The 21,461-nt window shown below is 41.6% G+C and overlaps 1 protein-coding gene and 1 long non-coding RNA gene across 4 annotated transcripts in view, besides 1 other annotated feature; one reads left to right on the top strand and one right to left on the bottom strand.

The window, feature by feature from the left end:
- CLNK (cytokine dependent hematopoietic cell linker) overlaps positions 1 to 21,461 on the top strand; it is a 248,452-nt gene that overhangs the window by 153,436 nt on the left and 73,555 nt on the right. For all 3 annotated transcript variants that reach the window (XM_011513775.3, NM_052964.4, XM_017007684.2), the window contains exons 5-7: positions 9,633 to 9,670; positions 15,261 to 15,402; positions 16,634 to 16,740. In XM_011513775.3, coding sequence (XP_011512077.1) covers positions 9,633 to 9,670; positions 15,261 to 15,402; positions 16,634 to 16,740 — 287 coding nt within the window. The remainder of the gene's footprint in view (positions 1 to 9,632; positions 9,671 to 15,260; positions 15,403 to 16,633; positions 16,741 to 21,461) is intronic.
- Positions 2,968 to 3,017: an enhancer, noted in NCBI's record as "active region_21314". NCBI's record gives its function as "activates an Ori minimal core promoter by ATAC-STARR-seq in GM12878 lymphoblastoid cells {active_cell/tissue: GM12878}" and the evidence as "EXISTENCE:reporter gene assay evidence [ECO:0000049][PMID:35858748]".
- On the bottom strand, positions 5,440 to 16,668 carry LOC105374481 (uncharacterized). The gene is made up of 4 exons (XR_925385.3): positions 16,532 to 16,668; positions 11,076 to 11,475; positions 9,391 to 9,444; positions 5,440 to 5,477 (listed from the first exon to the last, which is right to left on the bottom strand). It is a non-coding gene; the product is annotated as an uncharacterized LOC105374481 (long non-coding RNA).

Genomic DNA, 21,461 nt, shown 5'->3' with positions numbered 1-21,461 from the left:
AATACCCAGAGAGCTAGATGACTGAGTCTCTCTCTCTCCTCTCTCTTTATATGTGTGTGTGTGTGTATGTATATGTATATGAATATACACATATATATACATACACAGTCATGTGTCACATACTAATGGGGACGTATTCTGAAAAATACATCGTTAGGTGATTTCAACATTGTGTGTACGTCATAGAATGTACTTACACAAACCTAGATTGTGTAACCTACTACTTACCTAGGCCATATAGCATGGTCTATTGCACCTAGGTTACAAACAAAACATCCTGTACAGGATGTTGCTGTGCTGAATATTGTAGGCAGTTGTAACACAATGGTAAGAATTTGTGTATCTAAACATAGAAAAGGTACAGTAGAAATACAACATAAAAGATAAAAGGGGTACACCTGTGTAGGACACTTACCATAAAGGGAGCTTGCGGACTGGAAATTTCTCTGAATGAGTTAACGAATGAGTGGTGAGTGAATGCGAAGGCTTGATCATCACCGTAAACCCACGTCAACATTAGAATCTCTACACTTAGGCTACATCGAACTGATAAAACTATATTTTTTCTTCAATAATAAATTAACCTTAGGTTACCATAACTTTTACAATTATAAATGTTTAAAGTTTTCTGACTTTTTTACTCTTTCCTAATAAGACTTATCTTAAGCACAAACGCATTGTACCATTTTACAAAAATATTTCCCTTCCTCACGTCCTTATTCCAGAAGAATTTTTTCTATTTTTAATTTTTTAATTTTTATTTTATTTTTTTTTACTTTTTAAATGTTTTTGCCAAAAACTAAGACACAAATGCACACATTAGCCTAGAGCTGCTGAGCATCAGGATCATCAATATCACTGCCTTCCGCCTCCACATCTTGTCCTACTAGAAGGTCTTCAGGGGCAATGATACGTATGGAGCTGTCATCTACTAGGATAACAATGACTTCTTCTGGAATCCCTCCGAAAGGGCCTGCCTGAGACTGTTTTACAGTTAACTTTTTCTAATCAGTAGCGGGATGCTTTAAAATAACAATAAAAAGTATGATATAGTAAACACTCAAACCAGTGTTATAGTTATTTTATCATTAAGAAGTATTATGTACTGTACATAATTGTATGTGCTAGACTTTCATATGACTGGCAGCACAGTGAGCTTGTTTACACCAATGTCACCGTCAGAAGCACATGAGTCATGCATTGTGCTATGATGTTATAATGGCTACAACATCATTAGGTAATGATATGGATCCGATCAGTGGAGGAACACCAGGGTCCTTAGTCTTGTGCCGAACTGGATAAAACAACATGGACACATGTGGGGTGGTTTTAAGCAGTAGAGAGTTTAATAGGCAAGAAAGAAGGAAGGAAGAAGAAAACAGCTCCCCCATACAGAGATGGAGGGGGATTTGAACAAAGACAAAACCCCTGTGTGGCAGAAAAGTGGTTGCTTATAGGAGGAGGCTGGAGGAGGTGGTGCCTGATTTGCATAGGGTTTAGGGGATTGGTTTGACCAGGCATGTCATTCATGTAGCCCGTGAATAAAACTGGCCCTCCTACCCTAGCCTTTTAATATGCAAATGCAAGGCACCATGGTGTTCTACACAGGTGGGGATATGTGGGGGTGGCCATGTTGCCAGGCACATGTGGGGACAAGGGCAAGAAGAACAGGGTGGGAATCACCAAGTTTGGGTGGACCCAGTTTCTAATGGCTGGCATTTCCATATCAAAGTTTGCTAGCTGGCTCTAAGAGCCCAGGCTTTCCTGTTAGACAAGAAGCATTTCTGGAGCTGCTTTAAAAGAAACAAAAACTTTCCAAGGACCCCTTTTCCTCTCCATTTGCCTAAAATAATTTATTAATAACTCCTATAACAGTAATAGGAATTTTTCTGCTCCATTATATTCTTATGAGACCACGGTCATATATGTGATCCATCATTGACCAAAATATGGTTATATGGCATGTAAATGTATATATGTATATATTTTTTTCTATCTCTATCTCTCTCTCTCTCATTCCCCTCTTCCTTCCTCTTTTCTTCTTCTTCCCAATTATAAGCCATATAGTCAAAAACTCATTTACTCTCATAATACTTTACTCAGAGATGGTGAAAAGGAATGCAAGAAAGTAGATTTCTCCCTTTCCCCACAGATATAGATCGATGCCAAACTGAAGATGTTCTGAAGTTTGGAACCTGCCAGGGGAAAGGGTGTGGACTACCCTATTTCTCATTACACTGGGGTAAAATCAGCTTGACGCCCTCTTTCCCCAAATACTGTATGGTTCCTAAAAGACAAAAACTGTGAAAAGCAGCACAGTATAGAGGAAAGAAAGTGCATGGGGCTGTCAATCCAGACCCCAGAGTTTGATCCCTGGTTCTCTTACACCACAACCAAGTCTTAGGACCTGTGGATGAGGAAAAAGGAAAGACATTCACATACATGGAGTCACCAGTTTGTGCCTGGCACTTTATAAACTTATCTAATTTAGCTACACAGTGCTGATCTTATTATTCTCACTGTATAGATAAGGTAAACTGGCTGGGCATGGTGGCGCACACCTGTAATGCCAGCAGTTTGGGAGGCTGAGGCAGGTGGATTACTTGAAGTTAGCAGTTCAAGACCAGCCTGGCCAACATGGTAAAATCCCATCTTTACTAAAAATACAAAAATTAGCCAGATGTGGTGGTGCTGCTCAGGAGGCTGAGAGGCAGGAGAATCACTTGAACTCAGGAGGCAGAGGTTGCAGTGAACCAAGATTGTGCCACTGCACTCCAGCCTGGGTGACAGAGCAAAACTCCATCTCAAAAAAAAAAAAAAAAAAAAAAAAAGATAAGGTAAGCCAAGTCCAAGAGAAGTCAGAAAGTTTGGAAAGACATCAGCAAAGTAGAACTCAAACCCATAACAGTGCATGTGTTGGTGTTATGTGCCAAATGATTTTGGCCTCAGGATTTTTTTAAATCTTATGATAAGGGGACACCCAGATGATGGTGTCCACCGAATCTCTGTGCCTCACAGCTGAAGGGGATCCCAGCTTGAAGAACCCTTGTGAAGAATCAGCAGGTGGATATCAACAGAGTTGAATGCTGAAAAAGCCACACATTTTGCTTAAAAATGAGCACTAAAAACAGAACAAGTTCTCAATATAGATCTGAAAGCAGTGCTAACGACCTGGGTTGAGTGAGAAGGATTTGGCTGTGACGTTAAACTCGAAAAGAAAAACACACAACACAGCATCTTGTTACTGGGCACTGAGCCAAGAAGTTATCCTCTGGTAATTATGAGTTGATTTCCCACCTAAATTCCATGGACCAAAACTTCTCAACAGCCATTTGGGGGTAGGTAGTATTATTCCCATTCTACAAGTTAACCCTAGTTAACTGAGGCTTGTAAGTAACTGGGTTTGCCTGAGGTCACATGGCTCAAGAGTGACAGGGCCAGGATTTAAACCTAAAACTTCTCGACTCAGCTCCCATGAAATACATGTTGCCTTCCTCGTGCCTTTGATCAGCTGCTCTGCTATGTTACTGCCAAACACTAACCTCCATAAGGAGATAAAACATCAAAGGCTGCAAGACATTTAAAAAAATGGGGCTTAAACACGATAGACGTTTATTTTTTTTTTTTCTTATGTAAGTCAAGTCCCAAGGTAAGCAGTCCAAGGCTCTTTGGCAGCTCTGCTCCTGAAAGTCCTCAGAGACCCTGTTCTTCCCGCCTTCTTGCTCCCTCCCTTGTACTGGCCTTAATCTTACAGCCTGAAATCGTGATGTCTGTACTCCAGGCAACAGGATGGAGAAAGAAAACAAAAAGGAGAAATAAAAAGTGCGTAACAACTTCAGGGAGTATCCTGGAAATTCTGACTTGATTTTCTACCTAGATTCCATTGACCAAAGCTTGGACTTATGGCCATGCATAGCTACAAGGAAGACATGTAGCTCCGACCATGTGCCCAGCTAAACAGCAAGCGGTTCTGGTACCTGAGAAGACAGAGAAAATAGGTATGGGGAGACACACAACTGTCTCTGCCACAGAGTAGTTAGTGACAGGTGGCTAGGACTCACAGACCCCTCAATTTTCAACACATATTCTTAAGTCCAGCTGGCAACCTGCAGATTTGGAGCCAGCCCTGATCTTTGCCACACCTCTCCTCCCCTTCTCCACTCCCCTGAGTCTTCTCTTGAAACTGAAATGAAACCGGAAGCTGGTTTTGCTTGGGGAACCTGTCTGGCTTGAGAATGTCTAAGCAACCTGCTAACTGACTTGCTTTCCTAGGGAAATAGAGAGTGCTAAACCTCTGCAGGCTTCCTATTTTTATTTCTCTTCTCATGCAAGATGAGCATATTCTCACCATGGGACCCACTGGGAATTCTTCCAGTTCAGGATTTCCTTTGAATGTGAATATCCCATGGCAACAGCATTTGAAGGTCCACCAGCTACCCTGTCCCTGCAAAGCCACTAAATGGGGGCATAGATGAAGGCACCGGCCCTGCACCTCCAGAGATTTGAGCTCCCAGAAGTGTTTCCAAATGAAAATAATCTGAGAGTCTCTATTTACCTAATGGCCTGTCTTCCTTTGGAAGGGAATTGGAGCTTCTAACTTAGCGGTTCTAAAACTTCAAGGTGAATAAATGTCACCAGAGGAGCTGGAGGAAAAAAGCAGACTGATTCAATTGGTTTGCTCTGGGGCTCAGGTTTTGCCTTATTTCCTTTTTTCAGCTCCCAAGGTGAGTTTGATGCAAATGGTCAGGGGACCTCAGTTGGACAGGTATTGGCCAAGCACCTCTGTCATCCTTGGCTGGACCTCTGCAGACACGAGAAGAGCTGTTCAAGGGACAGCCACAGGGCTGGAGTAATTGCCTTCTGCCTATCAGGAGGCTCTCCTGGGCTTTACACTGCGTATATCCATCTTCACTTCCCTCCTAAAAGTAACTTTCAAAGGGACATTGTTTCTTGCAAAAAGATGTTTCCTTGAGGGAAACACAGAAGTCAGTTGTTCTCTGGAGCTGTCTGGTGTCTGTGGGTGATGGATGACCCTCCACACATCCATGCAACACGACCATAACTCTCCTGGGATGCAGATATGAAATCTATTGAGCAACTCCCTTTCTCTTTTTAGAAAATGGCCCTAGGAAGCCAATCTGTCTTTCAGGTCCAGGAAGACGTGAAGACCTGGAAGGGTTTGGGTGAGCCACTTTGGTGGGGATCTGGGTCCATGAGGGGAAGTGTAAAGCTCTGTTCACTCAGTGAGGGAGGAGGAAGGTTCTATCGCTGCTTCCCGGTTCTGACATGTTCCTGCTGTACCACATGCTGTATTTGACAACTGACTATTGATTGATTGTGCATTCACCATATGCCCATCTCTGCTACACGTGGGTTGCGGGAGCCATCAGGAGCCTGACGTCTTGCCACTGCCTGGGGGGAGGCAGGTACCACAGTCTGTAACTAGATTATTTATTGGTTGGCTTTGTTCCTAGATGCTATGGAGAAACATAAAAAAAAAGTCTTAATCAGGGAGGACTACCACCTATAATGAATAAACTACAAATGTTAGTGGAATATAATAAAGGTTTATTTCTTCCTCACATCACAATCCAATGTGGATCAAAGGAAGGCTTTTTCCAAACAGTCATTGTGATTCACTTCCCTTTTACCCAACAGCTTCCATCATCCCCATGGGCCTTGGGGTCTCTGCCCAGCTATCAAGGCAAGAACAAGAGCATAGAAGGTCAAGTAGGGCAACCTAGAGTCCATCACAGCCAACGCCCCAGGGCTGGGAGATCCACGCCATGCCCACCCACCTGCCCAGTGCAGGGGAAGGAGAGATATGTACGCCAGCCAAGCACCACAGGGAAAGGAGACAGGCCTGGTGTGCACGTGTGTGCAGCATTCTCACTGCCATACCAGGTGCCAGGAGTGGTGAGGAACAGCGCTGGAGAGGCGCTCTTTAATTTTTGCTTGACACCGGTAGTCAGGGAAGACCCCTCCAGGGGAGATGACATTTCAGACACAGTTGGATGGTGGACAAAGATCCAGGCATGGGCAGAGCCAAGAAAAGAGGGCTCTAGACAGAGGGATGGTGTGTGCAAGCTCCTGAAGTAGCGTGAGCTGGGTGTGCTGGCAGACTCAAGGAGAGGCTGGCTGAAGCAGCTGAAGTCGGAGGTGAGAAAGAGGTAAAGGAAGAGTTTCATGATTCTTATTGCAGAATGCTGAGACAGGCTTTATTCCAGACAATGGAGATAGGTACGGGATTACCACAATGAGTGCAGTACGGGAGAGACTGGGCTCAACTCAGAATACAATACGGACAAGTGGAAATTTATAGCCAAGGTGTAGCAGGACAAGCTGCAGACAAAACCCCTCAGACACCGAGTTAAAGAAGGAAGGGCTCTATTCTGCCAGGAGTTTTGGCAAGACTCACGTCTCCAACAACCGAGCTCCCCAAGTGAGCAATTCCTGTCCCTTTCAAGGGCTTACAACTCTAAGGGGGTCCGCGTGAGAGGGTCGTGATTGACTGAGCAAGCAGGGGGTACATGACTGGGGGTTGCATGCACCAGTAATCAGAACGGAACAGAACAGGACAGGGATTTTCACAATGCTTTTCCATACAATGTCTGGAATCTATAGATAACATAAGCGGTTAGGTCAGGGGTCAATCTTTAACCAGGCCCAGGGTGCAACGCCAGGCTGTCTGCCTGTGGATTTCATTTCTGCCTTTTAGTTTTTACTTCTTTCTTTGGAGGCAGATATTGGGCATAAGACAATATGAGGGGTGGTCTCCTCCCTTAAAGGGAGTGGCGTGAGGGTCTGGGAAAGGAAAATTACAAAGAGGAAACCTCAGGGGTAAGGGAAAGGGCGGGGGCAGAGGTGGTTTCCGGCTAAACTGACCTGAAATGTTCTTGCGGAAGGCAGACCAGGGTGATCAGACATCACCAGAGGAAGGTGGCAGAGGAGGGCCCTGATTGGATGAGATATGGAGGCTGATCAGACATGGAGAATGGGAGATTCTGGCTAAACTGACTGAGCAGGAGTCTTGCAAAAATTGGACAATGCAGAAATGAATATGGAATCCCACAAGGTAGGGCCTCACAGAGAAGAGAGTTCAAGGTAGCCTGACTACAGTTTGGTCCAGGAGAGAAGAGGCTGAAAAGGGATGAGGTCAGAGAGCAGGGTGGGGCAGGTTGTGCTGAGCTCTGGGGGCCACACAGGGCACCTAGTCTGTATGACATGGGCCATGAGTGACATGAACTGATGCACGGTGTTAGGATCAGGCTTTAAAATTGCATTTTCCAAAACTCTGCACTGATGACACAGATAGGTACTCTAGGAGACTGAGAGATAAAAGGCAATTCCTTCCCTAAAGAACACACAACAAAAAAGTAATCAGATCCTGCCTATTCGTATTTAAATGTCATGGTGAGTGAGACAGAAAACATATGCGTTAACAATTCAGTGAGATTGATGTGGCCTGGAGTAGTCAGAGAGAAAAGCAGAGAAATGGGATCTGAAAGGATGATGAGCATTTGGGAAGCAAAGGGGAGGTGAGAGGGAGAAGAGGCTCCAGGCAGGGTCTGTACCCACAGACACAGAAGGGGCATGAAGCGTATTTGGGGAATCTGGGAGAGTCTCAGGCTGGAACGCTCGCCTCTGGTGAGAAAGGAGACCCCGCAGCTCCCCAAGAAGATGTCAGTATCATGACCGCACTCCTTGAGGCCAATTTTCTAAAATGAAATTATATTGAACCCTGAATTAAACAGTGGAGTTGTTTTCCTCGATAACGAGGGCCAGAGCAGATCCCCAATAATTCTGAGCTCATTTGCTCCTTCCGGGCCAGCTGGTCTTTAATGGGTGACCTTATTAATTTAACTCGATTCATGAGAGAGTACAAATTGCTGCTCTAAAGGGCTGGAAAACGTGTTGGTTTCTCTGCCAGGGATCTCAGTGGGGATGTAATTGTGCTGGGTCAGGAAGGTGTCATCAGTGCCCTAGAGCTGCTATCCAACCCCAAGGATGGGCTGGGACCAGGGGCAGGTGTAGGCAGGATTCTGTTCCTCCCAGCTCATTATTTCAAGGAGATTAGCTCTGTCTCATTAACACTTCCCATATGTACTGGTCCTAGGCAAATTCCAGAGAACTGTGTTTCCACTGAGCCAAATTTGCATTAATTTGTACATTACACCTTAGAAAAGATTTGGGCATGCTGATACAATTAACAACTCTTTATTTCATATTTTGGTAAGATAGGGGAATTCAGAGTGAAATAACTAATGTTTAAGAAAATAAAAGGCCAGGTGCCATGGCTCATACCTGCAATCCCAGCACTTTGTGAGGCCAAGGTAGGCGGATCATTTGAGGTCAGGAGTTCGAGAATAGCCTGGCCAACATAGTGAAACCCATTTCTACTAAAAATACAAAAAATTAGCTGGGTGTGGTGGTGTGCTCCTGTAATCCCAGCCACTCGGGAGGCTGAGGCACGAGAATCGCTTGAACCCAGGAGGTGGAGGTTGCAGTGAGCTGAGATTGCACCACTGCACTCCAGCCTGGGTGACAGAACAAGACTGTGTCTCAAAAAAACAAGAAAAAACAAAACAAAACAAAACAAAATGGGAAAATGATAAAGCCAGAGCAAGAAGTAGAAATGCTTATCACATCGTGGTCCTCCACAATACTTAGATGAAATTCAGAAATTTATCCTGAATTTCTTGGCAGCCAAAGGAAGAAGGGAAATATCCTTAAATCAAAGCAAACCAGTTGCTAGGAAGCATGCAGCTTCTGCTCCTGAGACCTGAAACTTCTCACATATGTGCTAATAAAGAGAATTTAATTTAAAAAAGGAAATTTTTAAAAAATTGTTTCAAATGCTCCCTGATGCAGGCTAATAGCAGGAAACTACAATACAATTTAGGAAAATAAAGTTTATGAAGAATGAAAAAATCTGCAGTGATTTTGCATAATCTGAGGGTAAAATTTTAAACATAGAATACTGAGTGGGCTCAATGACCCCAGGCAATCTTTCATAAAACAAGCCCAAATAAGAGTGTTGAGTGCTGAGAAAAGGCAACTGCTGTGTTTTCATTCAACAAACACCTGGTCCATAACTCAATTGTTCAATACGGGGTCTTATGCCAGGTGCTAGAAATAGATGAATGAATAGCTATGACTTCTGTCCTCAAAATACTTATAGTCTATTCAGGAGACAGATGTATGGACAGATTATTGCAATTGCAACATGCTGTGCCTTGTGGGGGAAGAGAAGGGAAAATAAAACTCATCATTAGCTGAGCTGCTGCTGACTCAAGACTTCGGGAGCAATTGCTGTGAGAGATCTTCTCATATTATGTTTCTCTAGCAACAGGAATTTTGACCTGCTACAGTAGAGATAAAGTTTCTTACCTCCAAGTCACTGTTTGATTTGAATTCTGCTTCCTTTTCTCCTGTTTCTTTGTCCTGTTTTGCAAGAGCAACAGGTAGAATGGGAAATAAAGAAAAATGCACTTTAGTTTTGAAAAATCACAATCAAGGTAAGTTAATTAAAACTGACAAAAGATTTCTGGAGAAAAACAAGGGCCCAGTCTTTTTGATGTTTGGAGCTACCACAGTGATTAAAATAACACTCGGTCTGTTTGTGTTGGCAGGCCAGTACCAGAGGATGAACAAGCCTCTTCTAGACTGGGTAAGTCAGCTGCTTCCCTTATCTATTTTATACGTCTTTAATATTGCAAAGCAGGTGAATTTGATTCAAGATACTGGGTAAAATGTTTAAAAATCAACAGTAACAGGCTGCGTGCAGTGGTTCACACCTGTAATCCCAGCACTTTGGGAGGCCAAGGCGGGCAGATCACCTGAGGCCAGGAGTTCAAGACCAACCTGGCTAACATGAGGAAACCCCGTTTCTACTAAAAATACAAAAAATTAGCCAGGCATGGTGGTGTGAGCCTGTAATCCCAGCTACTCACGAGGCTGAGGCAGGAGAATCGCTTGAACCCAGGAGGCAGAGGCTGCAGTGAGCCGAGATAGCACCCTTGCACTTCAGCCTGGGCGGCAAGAGCGAAACTCTGTCTCAAAAAAAAAAAAAAAAAAAAAAAAAGCAACAGCAACAACAACAACAAAAAATACTTTTCCAAGTGGCATACTTTCCTGGCAAGAAAAACTGCATTTTAATTCTTGGGTGTAAAACTATATTCCAATTCCTCAGCTATAAAATGGAAATAAAAATTAATTAACATGGTCATTGTGAAGGCTGAATAAAGTGAAAATACCAATACACTGTGCCGGCAAGTGCGTTATGAGAAGCACACTTCCTAACACTCATAGTAAAATTTTAAATTGAAATAAACTTTCCAGAGAGCAATTTCATAATATCAAGTAAGCAACATTAAAATACCCATTTTTAGCCCAATAATTCCATTCTTGGGAGTTTAAAAAGCTAATCTAAAATATGTACTGATACTTAAACATATTCACAGATTTTATAATATATTTTAAATGGCAGCACATTTGAATTATGCTAAGTATTCAGTAATACAAAAGTAACTGCATCTTGATACATCCATTTTATGAAATCATTTGCAATATTTACAAATAATTTTAACAACTAGAGAAAAAGATTAAAATTTATAACATTAATTCAATATATTTTATTACAAGCAAATGTATAGGTATATAATTTAAATAGTTTTCACTTGCATATCTATAGATTAGATAGGCAGATGTATGATTGATTGATTGACTGATTGATTCTGTTCATAAACTCATTGACTCTTTACTGTTTGAGGTAGCTCTTTAAGAATCTAACTAAAGCTTATGGACCCTTACCCAGAAACATACAAACACACATATACATACACACACATGCACACACAAAAATTGTAAAAATTAAAAGGTTCATGGGTAAAGAATATTGAACCTCTAGTTAAGACTCCTTGAAATTGTTAGAAAATAGATAATACATTAATAGATAAATAGATATAACTCTATATTTAAAACAAATGTCTCTTTCTCTCTCTTCCTCTCTCTCTCTCTAAAGAAGTACACCAAAACACTTACATTTACTCCTGGGGGCAAAAGTCTCTTCTTACCTGGAGTGATGGTTGTTCTTCCCAGCCTTCTTATCATGTCCTGACTCTACCAAGTCTAGCAAAGGTATTGGGTGGAAAGTTGGAAAATGGGTTCAGGCTCACATCCCAGTTCTTCCAGCAGGTCCAAGACTTCCCCCAAGAGGCTATGCCCTAGAGAGCCTTGGTGATGGCCGTAACAGTATGTAAATGGCACCTTTGCACAAATACCCATCTGTCAAATCCCCAAAGGATTCTCCTGCCCGAGCTCCAGCTGAGAGCTCACTGGGTGTACAGTTCCAGAACCGAGACACCTTCTCTCCCTTTACTGTGTCAATGGTGAAACTTCCTGGAGTACACATACTAGCAGCTTTGCTTTGCTTTGTCCTGGGTACTGGGCTCTACCTATGGCTCAGCACATCACCTAGAGAAAAAAGATCCAACAGGTACTGAGTTCCTGCTGTGGAATAGATACCAAAGTAGAGACTTGAGATACATTTTCTCAATGAACAACAACAAGATAAGGTGGGTTTAGTCATCTCCAATTTACAGATTGAACATCTCAGTCAGGGAGCTTAAGTAACCTTTCCAAGAATGCAAGATCAAGAGTCATGTCTGTGCTTACACATAACATGATGCCGGCTGCAGATTTTAATGCGGAGGAGCACATTCCAGAATTCCTATAATGACCATTGTGTGTGAGTGCATCTGTTGCAGACTGGTGTCCATTCCTGCCAGTCTAGTGTTCAGACCCAGAGCCTTTGATAGGTGCCTGTGTTAGTCTTCTAGTGTTGCCATAACAATATGCCATAAACTGGATGGCTCAAACAACAGAGGTTTATTTTCTCATGACTCTGAAGACCAGAAGTCCAAGACCAAAGTGCCAGTAGGGTTGGCGAGAACTATCCCCTTGGGATGCAAATGACTACCCTCTCCCTGTGTGCTCACATGGCCTTTCCTCAGTGTGTGCATTTGGGGACGGGTGGGGAGAGAGAGGGAGAAACCCAGAGAAAGAGAGAGAGAGAACTCTCTGGTGTCTCTTCTTATAAGAACACTAATCCTATCAGATAAGAACCCCACCCTCAAATGTTGTGCAGTACCAATGGTCTGTAACCTGGTCTCCTGGCTCCATTTCAGGAATGGAAAAATGACCAAAAAAAAAAAAAAAAAAGGGCAGTCTTGGCCAATTCACTTGGGGAGGAGGTGGCTGGGGGAATATGAACCCACAGAATTTTCTTGACTATACATTTTACCTAAATTCTCACACCTAAACCTGATCGAATGAACTAGAATTTCAAAAATGATGGTGTCAGCTTTAGCACAAAATTTCACATTGCAGTTGCTTTTACTGTGATAGTGTCACATTTTAAGACAATATACAGAGAGTGGTGTCACTTCTTGAGGCCCCACCCTTCACAGTAAAGACCCAAATAATTGCATTTGTTTTCCATTGCTGTGATGTCACATCCCCACAGATTTGGCAGCTTGACCATTTATTATCGCACAGTGGATGCAATCAGAAGTCTGGGCACAGCATGGCTCAACTAGTTCCCCTGTTCTGGGTCTCACAAGACTGAAAGCAACATGCTGGCAGGGCTGCATTCTCCTCCAGGGGCTCTGAAGAGGAACTTGCTTCCAGATTCTTTCGGGTTGTTTCATAGAATCCAGTTCCTTTCTGTTGTAGGACTGTGGTCCCCATGTCCCTGCTGGCTGGCTGTTGTCAAATCCTTCTACTCTTGGACTCCTCTATCTAAATTGTCCTTCTGCCAGATCTCTCTTTCTTTCTTGTCTACTTCCTTTCTCTGACTTCCTCTTCTGCTTTTTAAAACAGGTTTTTCTGAGATAAAATCTACCTGCCATTCAATTTACGCATTTTATGAGTACAATTTAATGGTTTTTTTGTATATTCACAGAGTTGCATAACCATCACTCCAATCAATATATTTTTATCATCTCAAAATGAAACCCAGTCCCCCCTTCCCCCAGACCTTGGCAAATATTAATCTACTCTTTATCTATAGATCCTCCTCTTCCAGACATTTCATATAAACAGAATCATGCAACATTCCATTTTGTATATGACTCCCTTCTTTCATTTAACGTAATATTATCAAGGCTTATCCATGTTATAGCATATATCAGTACTTTACTCGTTTTCATTGCTGAATAATATTCCATTGTGTGACTATACAACACTTTATTACCTATGCAGTAGTTCATGGATACTTGGGTTATTTCCACTTTTTTACTATTAAGAAAAATACTGCTATAAACATGTGCTAGTTTTTGTGTGAATGTGGAGTTGCTGGATTATATGGTAGCTCTGTGTTTAACCTTTTGAGGAACTGCCAAAGCATTTTCTGCAGCAGCTGTACCCTGTTACATTCCCATCAGCAATGCATGAGATCCTCAAATTCTCCACATTCTTGTCAGCCCTGATTATTTTCTGTCTTTTTTTAAATCATCTTGGTGTTGTATGGCTGACATCTCATTGTGCTTTTGAGTTGCATTTTCCTAATGGCTAATGATATTGAGCATCTCTCCATGGGATTATTGATGGTTTGCATATCTTCTTTGAAGAAACATCCATTCATATCCTTTTCCCACTTTAAAATTTGGTTATTTATCCTTAGATCATTGCATTGTAAGAGTTTTTCATATACTCTGGATTTAAGCTCCTTATCAGATACATGATTTGCAAATATTTTCTTCATTCCACAGTTGCCTTTTTATTTTTTGTGGTCTTTTGAAGCACACAAGATTTTCATTTTAATTAAGTCCAATTTATCTATTTCTTTTATTGCTTGTATTTTTTTGTTCTATCTAAGTAATCATTGCCTAAGCCAAGAAATGAAGATTTACTCCAATATTTTAAGGGTTTTATAGTTTTAGCTGTTAAATTTATATTCAAGGCCCATTTGCACTTAATTTTTGCATATGATATAAAAAAGAGGTTCAGCCTCACTGCCATGCATGTGGATATCCAGTTGTCCTAGGACTATCTGTTGAAAGACTATTCTTTCCACCCATTGTATTGTCTTAGTACACTTCTTAAAAATCAATTAACCCTCAGTGTGAAGGTTTATTTCTGGACCCTCAATTATATTCCAATTATCCGCACATCTATCTTACTACCAATACCACATTGTCTTGATTACTGCATCTATGTAGTAACTTTTGAAATAAGTGTTAGTCCTCCAACTTTATCTTTTTTTTTTTTTTTTTTTTCCCAAGATTGTTTTGGCTATTCTTGGTTCTTCTTATTTTCTTAAGAATTTTAGGATTATCTTGTCAATTTCTGCAAAATAAATCAGTGTGTTAATTTGCAAAGTATTTCTATTTTAACAAGATTAAGTCTCCCAATCCATGATCATTAGTCATCTTTCCATTTATTTAGGTCTTCTGAAATTACTATCAACAGTGTTTTTGCAGTTTTCAGTGTACAAATTTTGCACTTCTTTTGTTAAATGTATTTCCATATATTTTATTCTCCTTGATGCTATTGCTAATATAATCGTTTTCTTTTTTAAAACATTTTTGTACAGATGAGGTCTCACTCTGTTGCCCAGGCTGTTCTCAAACTCCTAGCCTCCAGCAATCCTCCTACCTCAGCCTCCCAAAGCGCTGGGATTACAAGCATGAGCCACCGCACCTAGCCCATTTTCTTAATTTCTATTTTCAATTTGTTATTACTAATTTATAGAAATATAAATTGTCATTACTAGCATATAGAAATACAACTGAATTTGGTATATTAATCCTGTATCCTGCCACCTTGAGGAATTATTTATTAGTTCTAATAATTTTTTAGTGAATTCTTCAAATACAAGATTATCTTATTTGCAAGTAAGTCCTCTTTCTGCTTCTAAGGGTTCATGTGATTACATTGGGCCCACCCAGGTAATCCAGGACAATCTGCCTATTTTAAGGTCAGCTGATTAGTGACCTTCATTACATCTGCACTGTCCCTTCACAGCAGTACCTAGATTAGTATTGATTCAGTAACCAGAGATGAGAATATTGGGAGATATCTTTAGAATTCTCACTAGCACAAGAATTAAACTTCTATTTAAGATCCCAGACCCTAGATTCTTAAATATTTAACTTGCAGCTAAGAAGGTCTACCCCATTTCTCTAGCCAGCACTGTAGCCTGTCTTTGTCAACATTGTACCTTCCTTTGACTCACTGGAATGTTACCACCTGCTTAGGAAAGAAACTTTGCTGCAGTCCTGGATGGAGCAAAAGGCCACAGTGATGATGACTATGATGACCCTGAGCTTCGGATGGAAGAGACATGGCAGTCGATTAAAATTTTACCAGCCCGGCCTATAAAGGAATCTGAATATGCAGGTAACGTTTGGGGGTCTGCCTGAAATAAGAAGATGCATGTACATGCCACCATATTGCACACTATTTAAAGGTGCGGTTTCTGAATTAAACAACCCTAGGTTAACGTCTGCCCCCATGACTTACTAGCTGTGTGACCTTGAGAAAGTCTCTCCAATCCACTTTCTCTTTCTGAAAACAGGGTTCATAATAATAGAAGTTGACCCAGAGGGCTCTTTTGAAGATTATGTGAATGACGCATGTTGAGTTCTCACCAGAGGACCTGGTACCAAGCCAGAGATCTGTAACTCTCAGCTGTTATTATCACGATGCTCTCCTTGAGCCCTAGGAACAATGATGAGCATAACGGAGGGTGGACAAGCAGGGATGCAGCAGCATGGGAAATGTTAAATGAGGTCTGCATAGAGGGGAGTAGAATGAAAAAAAAAAGACTTTTTAACTTGGTTAATTCATTGTGCAGCCAGCCAGCCTAAGAGCGTCAGCAGGGCATGGCAGCAAAGCTGCAATTGTTAAGAATAAGAGGACCTAATTTCACACCCACCTCTGTCTCTAACTGTGGCACAAAGGGCAGCTTCAGCAAGTTCCTTGAGATAAAGCACCCTATTGTAAGGGGAAAGAGGAAGTATTCACAATTTCTGAGGGCCTGAACCACTAAAGTGAATCTATAGAAGTGTATTTGGAGAAAGTCATCTTGTAAATGATGATGACTTTTCTTGTTCATTCATTCAGTAAGCATTCATTGAGCATCTACTACGTGCCAGTTTCCATGTTGGGATTGACTGGGGGACACAAAGACAAACAATGCAGGATCCATACCCTCAGGAAGGTGCAATCTAGTGGCAGAAACCAGCAGCTCAACCGATGAATGTGATAGAATATGCTAAGTGTGTAATATAGAAAGGAGAGCTGGCATGGGGTGTGACTGGGTGGGATCTAGTAAGATTTTTAAAGGGCATGGCATAGCCAAAATTTTGTAAGATTTATAGAATTTCTAAGGTGAATGAGAAAATGAAGAATATTCAGGTTCAAACTTTGGCATTTTTTTGTGTGCACTGAGATGAGCAATTTCTTCTCTGCATACGTCAGTCTCCTACTCTGTTAAATGAAAGCAGAATTGCTTGCTCTTACTTACGTTGTAATGATCCAATGAGTTTGTAGATGTGCAAATACTTTGTAAATTGTAATGTGCTGAGTCCACGTAAGGTATGACTTTCATATTTTTCTGTTTGCATAGATACACACTATTTCAAGGTTGCAATGGACACTCCCCTTCCGTTAGACACCAGGACCTCTATCTCCATTGGACAGCCGACCTGGAACACACAGACGAGGTTGGAAAGAGTGAGTAAAGACTGGACATTGTGACACAAACATGTGTAGGGCTCTTCCTAACCAGCTAGAAACTGCCCCATCTCCTGTCCCCCAGGCCATCTTATTAGGGAAAGAGCAGGTCAAGCTCACTGAGGTGGATGGGAGGTGACTCTTATGACTGGTAGGAGGTGACTCTTATGACTGGTAGCATCATGGCCCTACCTCTAGAAAGAAGGATAATTCAGATGTGTGGAAGATTGTGAGCCAGAGATCACGCTAAGGACTTTGACATGCATCTCATCTAATGCTCATCGCATTCTCCAGAGAAAGAACATGAACTCAAATCTTTCTGATCATAATATAAGATTTTGCCCAGAGTCTCGGCCCAACATGGTAAATTATGAGCTGGGAGGTAATAAGTAAGTCATGAAACCTCTCTAAGCCTCCTAGTAACTTTATCTACCAAAGAGGGAAAAACAGAAAATCCTACCATGCTTATTTCAAAATGCTGTTTGGAAGCTACAAAAGATAATTTTGCACCACTGCACTCCAGCCTGGGTGACAGAGTGGGACTCCGTCTCAAAAAAAAAAAAAAAGAAAAAATCTAGTAAATGCAAATGCCCTAAATGCATACATAGAATTTTATTTTTAATAAAACATTTGCTAACACTTAATTTTCTTAATCCAGAAAGGCATAAAATACAAATGATCACCCCCTGGGATTGCAGTTATTGGTCATAACATTTTCGTGCACTTCATTATCAGTATTTTCTTTTCTTTTCTTTTCTTTTTTTGAGATGGAGTTTTGCTCTGTTGCCCAGGCTGGAGTGCAATGGCACAATCTCAGTTCACTGCAACCTCCACCTCCCGGGTTCAAGTGGTTCTCCTGCTTCGGCCTTCTGAATAGCTGGGATTACAGGTGCACGTCACCATGCCCGGCTAATTTTTGTATTTTTAGTAGAGATGGGATTTCACCATGTTGGTCAGGCTGGTCTCAAAATCCTGACCTCGTGATCCACCCACCTTAGCCTCCCAAAGTGCTGGGATTATGGTCGTGAGCCACCGCGCCGGGCCATTGTCAGTATTTTCTATGCAGATATCTGTCAAACAGGGGAAGCCTCATTGTTTAGTATATACCTGCTTTATTTTTCTTCTCACATTAAATTCTGGTATAAAACAATTTCTCATGTGATAAACAAGCATTCATAAGTATAATTTTTGTAGACAAAGCATAACCCACTATGGGATTTTCAATTATTTTACTAAACCATTGAGTGAAGACATTTTAAAGGCTTTCAGTATGTATTGTAAAATTTCCTTTCTAAAAAATTGTTTCCATTTACCATCCCAGAAACTCTGTATAGGAATATCCACCCCTTAGAAATATCACCAATACTGGCTATTAGTTTTTCAGTTGTATTTTTTAAAAAGGGATTTCACTATTCTTTTTTAGTTTGCACCACAGTTATTAGTGAGTATTAACCTGCTTTTGAATATTCCTCACATATTTTATATTCATTGTCTGTTTAACTTGAGGGCTTCTGTTAATTTGGACAGAAAAATGAAACTACAAATCTTATCAAGCAACACCGACCATTTACACAGAAGATATCTGATAGAGACTGAAGGAGCAAGACGAGTGATGAAAAATCAAACACTTCCTTTTTACACGGGCACAGCAGTGATTGAAGCTAAACACTTCAATCATTCACTCAACAAATTCATTCAAGAACTATGTCATCGGTGCCTGCTAGGATCAGACACAATTATAGACTCTAAAGACATATCCGTGAACCACCAATTCCCTGTGCTTATGAAACATATATGCTAATGGTAGGAGACCAGTGATAAATAAATGCACAATAGACAGACAATAGATAAGCAAGTGTACTTTGAAAAATAATGATAATGCAGGACAAGGAAGGTCAAGGAAAAAAATTCTCAGTAGAGATCGAACTGAAAGAATGAATGATATTTAATCCTTAAAACATTCTTGTGACCGGACGTGGGGGCTCACGTCTGTAATCTCAGCACTTTGGGAGTCTGAAGTAGGCAGATCACAAGGTCAGGAGTTCGAGACCAGCCTGGCCAACATGGTAAAACTCCATCTCTACTAAAAATAGAAAAATTAGCCGGGTGTGGTGGTGGGTGCTTGTAGTCCCAGCTACTCAGGAGGCTGAGGCAAGAGAATTGCTTGAACCCAGGAGTCAGAGGTTGCAGTGAGCCGAGATTGCACCACTGCACTCCAGCCTGGTGACCAAGCGAGACTGCATCTGAAAAACAAAAACAAAAACAAACAAACAAAAATCTCAAAAGATGAACATCATCACTTCCATTTTAATAGCTGCAATTTTATAAGCTCTGTGCCTTTGGGTCTGTTACTCAACCTCTCTGAGCCTTCATGATCTTACCTATAAAATCCATCACTGTTGTAGTAATACATAGAAAACACAGTATTTCTATGTGCTTCCAGCACATAGGCTGAGGTGGGAGGATTATTTGAGCCTGGGAGGTCGAGGCTGCAGTGAGCTGAGATAGCACCACTGCACTTCAGCCTGGGCAACAGAGTGAGACCCTGTCTCAAAAAAAAAAAAAAAAAGAAAAGAAAAAGAAAAGAAATGAATCTTCAATAAGATCCAAGAAATGCGTCTTTGTGCTTCCAGCCTGAAGCACAAAGCAATCAGTCCACAGAGGACATCTCCATGAGGTCAGGTGCTATTTTAGCCCCAACACCTACCATGGTGCCTTTGTAAGAGGTTCTCCATAGATATTGGTTAAATGAATGAAAAATAACAAACTTTCAATCATTTGAACTCAAGCTTTAAAAATAAATACCTGTTTAGTAGGGAAAGAGACCGAGTCTTTCCCCAGTTCATCTTCTGTTCACAAAAAAGACTTTCTCGGTCTGGCCTTCAAAATTCTTCTATTTTCCTGCTACTATTTGCTGCTATCATCAAGATCTGCATCTAGGGTAGTCCCCCAGGGGCTGTCTGAGAGGGAGGAGAGCATTTCAGGGCACTCATCACCAGAGCATAAAGCGTGGCCAGGAAATGAGAATTCCAGAGAGATTGGACCAGTGGCTGAAGACACAGTTCTGGTCCGGTTATAAAGAAGTAGAGAACGCTGAACTAAAAAATTTGAGCTGAACTTTCCCTGTAAATGACTGGCAATCCCTTTTCACATAGGTAAGCCTTCATGAATACAATTTTTTTTTACAAAGAATAATTCTCATTTGATTTTTTAAAAAACAACTATGCCAGGATTTAAGCCTTTACTCTTACACTTTCTATTCCTTCATATCATCTTTGTAGCTTCCTGTTAAAAACAAGTTTCTTCCTTTGGCTAGATCACTTTGCAGGTGGAACTACAATCTCAGCACATTAAGTCAAATGAAATTATGTGAGGAAAAAGGATAGGGCAAGGTGAGCAAAATTTCAGAGGGGAGTTGTCTCATAAATTCAACAAGAGTTTGGCCTCAATTCAGATGAAGAGGGAGTTTTAGCCAGGTGCAGTAGTTCATGCCTGTAATCCCAACATTTTGGGAGGCCGAGGTAGGTGAATTGCTTCAGCCCAGGAGCTCAGTAGCAGCCTGAGTAACATAGTAACATCTCATCTCTAAAAAAAAATTAAAAAAAAAATAGCTGGTCGTGGTGGAGCATGCCTGTAGTCCCAGCTACTCTGGGGGCTGAGGTGGGAGGATCACCTGAGCCTGGGAGGTCAAGGCTGCAGTGAGCCGTGATCATGCCACTTCACTCTAGTCTGGGTGACAGAACAAGACCTTGTCTCAGAAAAAAAAAGAGGTGGGGGAGGAGTTTCACATTTGTAATCAGTGTTGTAAAAATCAAGTATTTATGGCAAGCAGATTATCTTTTTTATGACAATCTCATTCCTAGGAGTTGATTCTTACTAGTTCTGCACATTTATGTTGAGATTAAACTATCTGTGAAATGGATCTCCAGCCAGGTGTGATGGCTCACACTTGTAGTCCCCACGTTTTGGGAGGCCAAGACAGGGGGATTGCTTGAGCCCAGGAGTTCAAGACCAGCCTGGGTAACATTGTGAAACTCCATCTCTACAAAAAGTACAAAAATTAGCTGGGCATGGTGACGCACGCCTGTAGTCCCAGCTACTTGGGAGGCTGAAGTGGGAGGATCGCTTGAGCCCGGGAGGTCAAGGTTGCGGTGAGCTGAAATCATGCCACTGCATTCCAGCCTGGGTGACAGAGTGAACTCCAGCCGGAGCGACAGAGTGAGACCCTGTCTCAAAGAAAATAAAAAGAAAGAAAAAAAGAAATGGATCTTCAATAATTTTTACAAAGGCCAGTTCTTGTCTAGACCCCTTAGGTGGGTCTTGACAACTGTCTTGCCCTAAACCACTGCCCATCCTTCTATTTATTGAGCATGTACTGTGTACCAAGCTCTGTGCTTAGCAATAGGGGTTGAAAGGTGAGCCAGTGCCCACAGTCTAAGGGAGGAGGCAGTGACCCAGATGGGCAGTTTCCATGTTCTAGGAAGTGGTCAGATGGAGGTAAACACAGTGTGCAAACGCACGCAGACCTGCATCTCCGAGAGTAGCCAGTGCCATTGGAGGGGTCTGATGAAGGAAGCCATATGATGCAGTCTTCCACAACTGGCACATGTTTCATTGTGATCAGTGGTTCTCCATGGAAAGTTTTTGCCCCCCAGGGGACTTTTGACAAAGTCTGGTCACATTTTTGGTTGTCACAACTGAGTTCTACTGACATCTAGTAG

The sequence above is a fragment of the Homo sapiens genome, chromosome 4 (genome assembly GCF_000001405.40).
Source record: "Homo sapiens chromosome 4, GRCh38.p14 Primary Assembly".
Lineage (NCBI taxonomy): Eukaryota > Metazoa > Chordata > Mammalia > Primates > Hominidae > Homo > Homo sapiens.
Note: the sequence above shows the minus strand (reverse complement) of the source record. Positions and strands in the feature narration are given on the sequence as shown.